Source organism: Homo sapiens, chromosome 2, assembly GCF_000001405.40.
Source record: "Homo sapiens chromosome 2, GRCh38.p14 Primary Assembly".
NCBI classification, from domain to species: domain Eukaryota; kingdom Metazoa; phylum Chordata; class Mammalia; order Primates; family Hominidae; genus Homo; species Homo sapiens.
The window spans coordinates 230,122,565-230,134,612 of NC_000002.12; the positions used below are offsets into that span (position 1 = coordinate 230,122,565).

At 41.0% G+C, this 12,048-nt stretch overlaps 1 long non-coding RNA gene across 1 annotated transcript in view; it reads left to right on the top strand.

Moving 5' to 3' along the window:
- Nucleotides 1-12,048, top strand: part of LOC107985995 (uncharacterized) — a 75,437-nt gene that overhangs the window by 55,826 nt on the left and 7,563 nt on the right. The window contains exon 5 of the long non-coding RNA XR_001739918.2: nucleotides 1,737-2,985. This is a non-coding gene — a long non-coding RNA (uncharacterized LOC107985995). The remainder of the gene's footprint in view (nucleotides 1-1,736; nucleotides 2,986-12,048) is intronic.

A 12,048-nucleotide genomic window follows, 5' to 3' on the forward strand; every position in this document is an offset into this window, starting at 1 on the left:
AGTTGCGTATGGGTTCAAGTTGACAAAGGGTGGACTTGTGATGGTTAATACTGAGTGTCAACTTGATTGGATTGAAGGATACTAAGTATTGATCCTGGGTGTGTCTGTGAGGGTGTTGCCAAAAGAGATTAACATTTGAGTCAGTGGGCTGGGGAAAGCAGATCCACCCTTAATCTGGTGGGCACAATCTAAACAGCTGCCAGTGAATATAAAGCAGGCAGAAAAGCGTGAAAAGGAGAGACTGGCCTAGCCTCCCAGCCTACATCTTTCTCCCATGCTGGATGCCTCCTGCCTTTGAACATCAGACTCCAAGTTCTTCAGTTTTGGGACTTGGACTAGCTCTCCTTGTTCCTCAGCATGCAGACAGCCTATTGTAGGACCTTGTGATTAAGGTAATACTTAATAAACTCCTCTTTATATATATTTAAACATATATATAAATATATACATATAAAGGAGAGTTTTTTATATATGGGGGTTTTATATATATATGTAAAATATATATAATATAAATAAAAATATTTATAATATATAACTATAAATACTATATATAATAAAACATATGATTTATATATATTTATATAATGTAATAAATATATGATATAAATATAAAATAAATATAAATTTATATTATATATAAACATATACATTATATATAAATATATAAATAAATATATGTATATATCCTATTTGTTCTGTCCCTCTAGAGAACCCTATTATAGATGCCATTGAATATTGGTCCACAGTAATAAAACACATATTTGCTGTTAATTATCTAGTCCCAATTTCAGCCAGTCCTGTTAGAATTGGAGACTATTCCACTTGTAATTTTTATACCCTTTTCTCAGTTACACTTTCCTTCCACCTGTAGAGACTAGGGCTATGACATTTAAGTAAAAGGGGCTATTTTTAAAAATATGGTGTTTAGCCATCTGGGGTAATGTGAGTTATTGAATTGGGGCTACTCCAATCTTTTTTTTTAAAAACGTTATTAAAAATGTTAAAAAAATCAATGTTCCAATGTTAAAAAGAAAAGTTTATAAATTTTCCCCACACTCCTACAATCCCAATCCCTGAATTAATTGATGTTAACACTTTAATATATAATTTATCTTCTCTTATGCTAGTCTGTGTGTGTGTGTGTGTGTGTGTGTGTAAGATGGGACCATGTTTTTTTTCTTTGTTTAAAATTATTTTTATTTATTTTTATTTTTTTGAGACAGAGTCTCGCTCTGTCGCCCAGGCTGGAGTGCAGTGGCACTATCTCGGCTCACTGCAAGCTCCGCCTCCCAGGTTCAGGCCATTCTCCTGCCTCAGCCTCCCAAGTAGCTGGGACTACTGGCACCTGTCACAAAGCCCAGCTAATTTTTTTTGTATTTTTAGTAGAGACGGGGTTTCACCGTGTTAGCCAGGATGGTCTCAATCTCCTGACCTTGTGATCTGCCCACCTCGGCCTCCCAAACTGCTGGAATTGTAGGTGTGAGCCACTGCGCCCGGCTGGGGCCATGTGTTTTTATAAAAATATCTACATGAGTCACTTAGGATGCATTCAGTTACAGGGAATAGAAAACTCAATTTAATTGGCTTCAACAAGCAAATGTGTTGGTTCATATAGCCAGAAACTTCAAAAGTTAAGACAAGTTTTGGTGTTAGTTTAATTTGGCAGCTCAGAAATTTCTTTAAGGACTGAATTTCTTTTCATATATCTTTTCTGGGATATCTGCTTCATCCCAAAGCTGGGTTCCTCCAGTGATCGAAACATGGCTACCAACAGTCTCCAGAAACACCTCTTCCAACCCGAGGAGTGAGCGTCTCCTCCCCAGCCACTGGGCAGAGTTCTAGGATTCCCTCTGATTGGACCATGTTGATCATGTGCCTTTCCTGGGGCTGGGGACTGTCCTACGTTGATTGGCTTAGATCTGGCTTATGCGCTGGTTCCTGAAATAAACACCGTGTCAAGAGTAGGATATACTTGCAGTTTAATTTAGCCAAACCTGGACCTATGCTGGAGCTGAGGATGGAGCAAATACCAGCAAAACTGCCTAAATGTTCCCCAGTGCTGTGGGGGTGGAACGGACGCTGAGAAGCTCACCCTAATATCCAATTCACCATGGAAAAAAGACAGGAAGGATATACAGCAAAGTGCCCACGACAGTTATTTTCAAGTGGTGATATTATGGGGAATTTTTATTTTCTTTTTTACGCTTATCTGTATTTTACATTTTTGACAACAAGCATATATTACTTGAATAACTTCAAAGAGAAATGAAAGCTATAAATATGAAGAAAAGCTGGTATATAACACTAGCAAGTAATTAACAGCTTGAGGGATTTAAAGCAGACGTGTTGGCAAACAGGAAACATGAATTTTCAGAATGGTACCAACGGTGCCTTGCAGAAGCTTCCAACTGCCTTTCTCTTGCCCCTGTTAGGCAATTCCGTCGTTTCTACAGACTTAATCTGAGATCTCTGAAGGCTAGTCTGGCTTAAAACTACCAGTTTCAGCGGCTTGCAATTTTCTCTTATATTTGGGTGGGGAAGATTTTTCAGTTTTCCCTTAGAGACACTTTCCCTTGTGGGGCATGATAGTGTGTTCCTCGTTGCAGAAGGACCCCTGTATGCAGAAGTAGAGGCGCTGGCCTCAGGCTCCTCCACTTCCTCTTGGACAGAAGACGCTGAGCATTTTTTCAGGAAGTGGTCACCCCAGTGGTCCCCGGCTTTCTCAGACTTCCTGCAGCTCTCTACACAGTGAATCACAGTGAGACACTGGCAGCAGGCACCACGGAAGGGACCCTCAAATCTGAAGGCTCAAGGTCCTGGGAAAAGATGAAGTGGAGCATGCCTCTTGTTTCCTCCTATTAGATGCTGAGTGTTGGAAGTTCTTCCTAGGATTCACAAAGAAACTCCTGCTCTTCTTCCACATACTTTTTCCTGGGAAAGAAAACTTGTTTCACTGGCAGAAAAGATCCCCACTGTTAAAGTGAGGTAAGGATATCTCATGTCAGGGTAGGCATCTGCATTCTCACTTTGATTTCTGCTTGAAGCTGATTCTCAGCTCTGCACTTTGAGAAATTTGATTTTACCTGACCTATGCCCTTCTGGAATTTATTATGTTGTGATGGTAAGCAATAAACTGGCATTTTAGTGTCATGATGCGAGCTATACTTACCGGAAGGATGGAAATGCTCTAGGTTGAGCAGTCATGCTCTTTTTCTCTTCTCAGTAGGAAAACACAGTGTGGGGAAGGAAATGAGGCCAGAAGATGGATATTGGATGGTCTTAAGGAAGCATTTTGTTTCTCCTGGTTATGTCTCCACCCCACCAGAATGTAAATTTCACAAGAGTAAGGACCTTGACTGTCTCATTCAGTATTGTATCCGCAGCATCTAGAACAGGCAGAGATACTCAGTGCACATGTAATGAACAAATGAATCAAAGGCTGCCTAGCTGGATGGATGAATCCTTATTTTTCAAGGGTCAGTGTCCTCTGGGAAGTCATCTCTAACCATTTTTATGGAAGTTAGATGCCCTCCTCTGAGTGTCTACAAGTGCTGGGATTCTGCAGCAATTTTTTCATTTAATTATAGGCATTTTGGCATTTTGCACAGAGCCTGGCACATAGTATATAGGTGTTAAAATAATAATACTGTGGAAGCCTCATAAATATCTCTCAGCATGTGAAAATACTTTAAAGTAGATCAGGATCTTACATTAACCAGAGCTCCTGTCCTGCTTCAGTGTTGGTGATGCATTAGCAAGTTCTTACTCCCTGATTTTCATGGCTTCTAAGGGAAGAACCACCCTTCTATTTTCAGCTGTTATTACAATACCATCTATATTTGTTGAACCCACAAAATGTGCTGAATGATTTTAGCGAATTACGTTTCTGGGATCAAATTGGTCGTCTCCTGTTGTTGCATAAAGAGGCGACTTCATCTCATCAGCAAACCATCTGCAAGTCTTAGGGTAGGACATCTTATTTCTAGTGGGACCTCCTTGAAACAGTACATTCCTCTGGGGTTATGTGGCTTCTTACAGCTTTGGTCACACAAACAGAAGCCCCCAATCTGGTCCCTACTCAGTTTTGGCCCCTCTCTTCTATTGTCTGTGGTCCTCTGTCCACAGACCACACTCCCTCTGACAGGTATGCTTGCCTGACCAGACCACACTTCCTTGGGGTCCAGGTGGGGATTTGCATGGCACCACTCTGAACACACTGAAAGAGCAAATAGCTTCATGTGACCCACAGGCTTGGATCATCCAGAAGTAATATTCATTGTTTTAAGACCAGTGATCCAAAGATCAAGACATAGACCAAGTGGCAAACAGATTTAAGATGAGGGCAGCCTAAAGTCTGAAAAAAAGCTAGATACTCAAGTTACATAAAATTGGCAATAACCAGAGAATGGTCATGTGGGCCTGATTCTTTGGCAGAGTTTGCCACAGCCGAGGATTTAATATTCTCTGTTAATTTATGTGGGCCTGAGCCCATGGATGTGGATGGCTTAAGTGGCCAAGGAAGTGGTGAAAAAGAAAATAGGATCTTCATAGTTCTATTGGAAAAGTCTTTGATAGAACAGTACTGAAGCAACTCTCACTAGACCAGAGTGACACAGTCTTGGATTTATTGAGTGCACATGATGAGCTTTAGGCATCCCAGTCATTGTTCCCTTATCTAAAGGCCATCCTCCTTTCCCAGGGCAGGGAAGGTGCATCTTATACCCATGTTGTCACTTAGATCTGTTCAGTTGTGTTGTTCACTGAGAATCCCTGTAATGACTGGTTATTCGTGCTGTGATTGGGTCCTTCTTAACCTGCATCCTGATGGCTTTAAAACCCCAAATGACAAGTCACTGAGCCAAACCACAAAGTTGGCTAGAATCTAAATTTAGTTAACTGTGCCCTTCAAACACTTGTGTTTCCTTAAATTAGGTTCTTTGTTGGCTGATTCCCTTCTGCAGGCATCATTTATAAGTTTCCTTTTGTCAGATTTCCTGTCATTTCCTATCCACAGTGCCAGCCTCTTTGCACAGTTCTGGGTTTCTGGAGAGCCTCTTTACCTGCTTCTGTCTTCCTCAAAACAGCCTTATTAACCTTGTGGTGCCCTTGCTTTTTCCAGGAGGCTTTTCTTGCTAGCCTGTGTCTGTACTGACTAGGATTCATCCCAATATTCCTGCTCTGGCTTTTCATGCAAGAGAAGGAAGACTACTTTCCCCAAATCTTCTTGGTAAAAGGAAAAAGGAACTTGCTTTTCACTAATCCAAGGTTTGCAGTTTTCATACATTTCCTCCAATTCAAAAAAATAGGAAATTGATATGTTTTTGCCACCTCTCTCATAACCCATACCAGTGTTCACTCCTGATCCATCCCCAAATCAATGAAATAAATTTTTTGAGGACAGAGGTCCTATCCCATTCATCTCTGCAGGTCCAGTGCTTAGTGTAGTTCCTGACACATGGCAGGTGCAAAATACATGTTTATTGAGTGGAGGAATGGATAAATGCATGAGTGAATGTATAAATGGAGACATTGAGATGGGGCCATATATTGAAAAATTGTAATTGATTATAAGTTATTTGCTCATTCAAAAGTGGTTTAATGATAATATAGCTGGAGTTTTCAAAGTTAGTAATTTTCTTTGTCACTAATACTTAGAATGTAAGTTCTTTTGAAAAATACAAAATATAGTTACAAATAATGTTTTCAAAAATAGCCCTAATAACAGTAATATAATTTCTACTTGAAAATAAGTTTATTAAAGTAAAAGAGAAATATAATGATGATTTAAAAAAATCACAAGGATAAGTACTGAGTTAGCTATTTTCTCTCTATGTATGATTCAAATTTGTATGCTGATTCTAAAAGGCAAATATAAATGCTAATGAAAGTAACCAAAAACATTAATAACTTGACTTACGTGGACTTTGCTATGGAAAAATGCAAGTCCATTCAAATAGTAATAGAATTCGCTGTGATAGGTCGGCTTATAACTCTGCCAAAAAAACTTTATAAATATATCAGCTTCCAATAAGTGAGATAAATCAATTAAACAGCAATTAAGTAAAAGTTCAAGTTAATAATCAATTATATGCTAAGTAAAAGTTCAAGTTAATAATCAATTATATGCTAAGTAAAAGTTCTCAGAGCAGGCAAAAGGTTAAGTTATTCCATGGATTTTCAGTTTCAGATATTTAAAATCATACAGCTTTCAGATCTGGGCAGGCAACTCTGCATGGTGTGAACAAACACAATATGCATTATGCAGAGACATCTAATAAAGATAGAAGTTTCTAACCAAGCAATACATATTACAAGCAGATTTCGAAATTGAGGGATTTCTTTTTCATCAGTGAAACAAATCACAGCATGTGTAAAAGGTTAGTAAAAATAGCTATGTGTAAATTGTGCTTTGATTTAGGGAAATAGAATTAAGCCTGGAAGAAAGTTCACACTAGTCTCCAATGCTAAGTCAGAGAGAGAAAATGAAAGAGCTTTGTGGAATCTGCCAAGACTCTTCGTGGATTTCAACTTTGCCAAGATTGTTCCGATAAAGCATCTGGTTTATGGCTAAGGAGAGGCGTGGCCTGCTGAGACAGAAAGATTGTGTCTTGCTGCGTTAGGATGAGGCCGCTATCTCAACTACGCTGTGAGGGAAAGCCATTTGACTATGGAGGATAGCCTACCAGCACAACACAAAACTCACCATCTTGGCTGCTCTGTGTTGTGTTACAAGCTCTAATAATCTAAAGGTCCTACATAGGCAAATTAACTTGTAACTAGCTTAATAATTGCAGTAAGGCAACATTAAAATAGCTTCAGCATATTTTAGAAGTAAATGTTGGAAGATGAACTCAATAGAGACAAGGCAATTGACCAAAGACAAAAGCCTTTCAGATGTTGGGAAATATTATTGGCAATGAATCATATGCTCAGCCACATATGGCTTGCTGTTTGCTCTTTGTAGTTTATTGACATCAATTGACCTTTGACATCTGGAGAGACAAGGAGAAAAGGAGGAAGACCATATGTTTACTGTATGCCAGGAAACTGTCACAGGTTTTGGATTGTATAAACTCCATGACATCAGAGACTTGGTGCGTGTTGGTCAACCCCAGCACTTAAATCCATGCTGGGGACACATAGGTAGTTGGAATTCACCACTTGATTGAATAAATGTTCATCTGTTGAGCTTGCTACTTTTGTTCCCTGGTTAGTTCTGTGCTTAGTTCCTTGGTTATTTCTGTGCCTGCAGAGAACTCCATCCATCCAAGTAGAATTGATTGACTTTTAGCCAGTATATTATGATTTCTTATAAGTGCATTATTTAAATTTCTATTCGAATTCATGAAATATGTTATTTGTTACATATGACACCATTATAGTTAATATTGAACAATCTTTTTCTGAAATCTTGGAATGACCCCTATGCCTTATTTCTCTTATGTCTGTCTGTCTCTCTCTCTCTCTCTCTATATATATATATATGTATATATGTATATATACTCTCTATATTTTTTGGGAGACAATTTAGTCTGTATATATATAGAGAATATATCTATATATAGAGTATATATAGTAAATGCTTGAGCATATATATTATATATAATAGCATATATATACTATATATATAGTAAATGCTTGATCACATATATGTATATATAAAGGATAGTAAAATATGTCATTAAATTGTATCCTCTGTTCATATAGGTGTTATTATTACTGTAATAAGTTAGAATCACACATACTCATCATTATCAAAATTGTAAAATGAGAAGAGCTTTTCTGCCATTATTAGCAGCTACTTCTTTCCAATACTCCCCTCTTGAATATTTATTTATATTCAAGGTTTGGGAATTTGTTTCACCCTGCCCTGTCCACGAGTAGTGTTCAGTAAAGATGCATGTGCATATTGTTTTTGAAAATATGTTTTTAAACATATTTTAGAAAAGGACGATGTTCTATTAAAACAAGGTAGTGAGTCTCTAGATGAACGAATCTTATGAGTACTTAAAGAATGCCTGTAGACCAAAATTTTGGTCAGAAAAGAAATGGGAAAGAAAGCTGGAGAATTCGCTTTATATGAAAAGAGGCAGGTTAAGACTATAAAAGCCAACTGCCTGGGAAACCACTCATTAGAAAAAAGTGCCATTCTCTATCTTCAGAAGTCACAGGATATACCTAAATAGGCTTTGTGATTTCACCCAGTTCTCCGTGTCACACCTCTGAAGTGTCTCCAGAGGATTAACGATCACAGTGAATATTTAGTAAATGCTTGACCTTGATGTTGAGTTCCTGGCGCTCAGTAAACACTGGTTCCCTCCCTTCCTTCCTGCCTGCTTTGAGGAGGAGAAATCCAAAGCCTCATGGACTGCAGTGATTTTTAAAATACCAAATAAGTAAGTCTACAATTAGATCAGAGAAAAAGACGAGTTTGAAGAGAAGGGAGCATGTTTACTGTGGGCGAGGAGGAGGTCTGATCATTAGGGTAGATTGTAACAGCCATTTTGGAATGGCCTTCGGCCAGCAGCTGCTGAGCATTTGAACTCATTTCTGCAGTTCTTTCTCAGCTGATGTGTTCTTCCCATCAGCGGTGAGTCAGATTCTGGCCCTGACCTTAGTGGCAGACACTGGCCGAATGACCGTAAGCACCGCCCCTGCCCCAAAGGCCTCCTCCCTCTCAGAGACCAGAGATCTTTCCTCCTTTAGAAATTCCACATGTAGGTTCTAGAGGAGTCTAGCTGGACCCATGGGTAAGCCATTCTCAGCCTCCTGGCAATACGATAGTAACTGGTAGATGCTTTTCCCTATATTCGTGTGCTCAGGCTGCCATAAGAAAATACAACAGATTGGATGGGCTAAACAGCACCAGTTTATTTTCTCACAGTTCAAGGGCCAGAAGTCCAAGATCAAGGCTCCGGCAGGGTTGCTTTTCCCTGAGGCTCCTTTTCTTGGCTTGCAGACGGCTGTCCCCTTGCTCCCTCTCTGCATGGTGTTCTCTCTCAGTGTATGCATTCCTGGTGTATTTCTCTGTCCTAATCTCCTCATGTTCTTCTTGTAAGGACACAAGGACACCAGTCATACTGGATCGGGGCCACCCTAATAGCCTCATTTCATCTTAAAGGCCCTGTCTCTAAATACAGTCATATTCTGAGGTACTAGAGGTTAGGACTTCCACAAATGAAATTTGGGAGACATAATTTAGTCTATAACAACCACTCAGTTGCAGTCTTTTTTCTGTGTTTAAATTCACACACACCAATATGACACTTGGAAAAAAGCTAAACAAACAACAATAGCAAAAGCAATGGTCTCAGAAATCAGAAGAGCTGGGTTTGAGGCCAGGCTTCGCCATTAACCAACATCTCCCTTCACCTCCGTGTTCCTGGTCACTGCCTCTCATGAAGCAGGGATGAGACCACCACTCATTTTTCCAGCCTCTGCAGCCTGTTGGGAGGACCGAGTGAGAAGATGTGTGGGGAGCCCTTCACGGCTGTTCAATGTTGACCATCACTTATGTGGGGGCTCCTGGTCCAGTGGCTTAGAGAGTGGGCTCTGGAGTTGAACTGCCTGATCCAAATTCCAGAGTCACTGTCATGAGCTGGTAAACCTTGGCTAGGTGATTTCCTTCCTCTGTCCCTCAGTTTTCTTTTCTGAAAAATGGGAATGATGATAGCTGATATGGTTTGGCTGTGTCCCCACCGAAATCTCACCTTGAATTATAATAATCTCCACCTGTCAAGGGTGACAGGTGTAGATAATTGTATCATGGGGGGTGGTTCCCCCATACTGTTCTCGTGGTAGTGAATAAGTCTTGTGAGATCTGATGGTTTTATAAATGGGAGTTCCCCAGCACAAGCTATCTTGCCCACCACTGTGTAAGACATGGCTTTCTCCTCCTTTGTCTTCTGCCATGATTGTGAGGCCTCCTCAGCCATGTGGAACTGTGAGTCTGTTAAATCTCTTTTTCTTTATAAATTACCCAGTCTTGGGTATACCTTTATTAGCAATGTGAGAACTGAATAATACAGTAGCGCTGACTTTATAGGCTTGTTGTACAGATTAAAGAAGTCAGCACTCACTAAAACTGTGTCACAGTAAACAACCCAGCACATATTTTCTATGGTTATGTTTTGTATGGGTCATCAACCTCTTGTGCTCTCTTCCAGTCTAGCCCCATCTCTCACATCCAGTGCCCCCTTGGTTTTCTCCTGAAGGGGGGTGTCTTTAGCAATGGTGGTGGGCTTACAGTGGCCTTACAGTCCCTCAGAGATGAGAGAAGTGAGAAATTTCCCCAGCCTGGTGCCCCAGCGCCTGTGATGAGGCCAAGTGTATTAGTCCATTTTCACAGTGCTGGTAAAGACAACCTGAGACTGGGAAGTAAAAGAGGTTTAATGGACTTACAGACTCAGTTCTACATTGCTGGGGAGGCCTCACAATCATGGCAGAAGGCAAAAAGGAGCACGTCATGTCTTACATGGATGGCAGCAGGCAAAGAGAGAGCTTGTGTAGAGAAACTCCCATTTTTAAAACCGTCAGATCTCATGAGGCTCATTCACTATCACAAGAACAGCGCAGGAAAAACCCATCTCCCATAATTCAATCACCTCCCACCGGGTTCCTCCCATGACATGAGGGAATTGTGGGAGTTACAATTCAAGATGAGATTTGGGTGGGGACACAGCCAAACTATATCATTCCACCCCGACCCCTCCCAAATCTCATGTCCTCACATTTCAAAACCAATCATGCTTTCCCAACAGTCCCCAAATTCTTAACTCATTTCAGCATTAACTCAAAAGTCCACAGTCCAACATCTCATCTGAGACAAGGCTTTTCTGCTTATGAGCCTGTAAAATCAAAAGCAAGTTATTTACTTCCTAGATACAATGGAGGTACAGGCATTGGGTAAATACAGCTGTTCCAAATGGAAGAAATTGGCCAAAACAAAGGGGCTACCGTCCCTATTCAAGTCCGAAATCCAACAAGTCAGTCAAATCTTAAAGCTCCAAAATGATCTCCTTTGACTCCATGTCTCACATCCGGGTCACACTGATGCAAGAGGTGGGTTCCCATGGTCTTGGGCCACTCTGCCCCTGTGGCTCTGCATCCTCCCTCCTGGCTGCTTTCACAGGCTAGTGTTAAGTGTCTGCCACTTTTTCAGGCACACAATGCAAGCTGTTGGTGGATCTACCAATCTGTGGTCTGGAGGACGGTGGCCGTCTTCTCACAGCTCCATTAGGCAGTGCCCCAGTAGGGCTCCCCCACCCACATTTCCCTTCTGCACTGCCCTGGCAGAAGTTCTCCATGACACCAAGGTGGCAATTGCCCTCCATGGAAGGAAGCTGTCTCACTCTGCCCAAACTCCCTGACACGTCTCTGCTGCTGGCCTGGAGGTGCACAGGACAGAGAGGAGTCTCTTTCAGAGACGTCATGATAGTGGCTCTAGAATTTAGACCAGACAGTTCAACTAGAGAGCCCACTCTTTAAGGCACCAGGCCAGGAGTCCCCACATAAGTGATGGTTGACATCCAATGGCTATGAAGGGCTCAGCACACAGATTCATCAGCCTCCTGGAGAAATGACTCAAGGTGCATGTACTGTTGCAGAGCCACCAGAGCCATCTTTTCATACTGATGTAGAAATAAAGACCAACCAGATGAGAACAAGCAAAGGCTATGTATTCAGAGCTTGGATTTTGGCAGAGACCCAAAGGCAGGCAGAGTGAGGAAGCTTCATAATGGAAAAAAGGGAAGGCTTCAGGTGTGCCTTGATTGGAGGCTGTTAACGTGGGGAAGCTGTGGGCAGTTAAGTAGAAACAGGACATCCTATGTGATAGGTTAGGGGAGCATATTTAGCTCTCTCTGACTGGTCCTAAGTTGGAAATTTGGATTTAGGAAAGCTGTCAGTTATTAATCAAGTCCTGGCCCTTGGGGGTGGGTTATTACAGGGGCTATTGTTTGCTTCCTGGATTGTTACTAGAGATAGCAGTCTGACTCCTGCAAGTCTGACTTACATCAGGCTGGCTTCCTAGGTGGTTACTGGAGATAA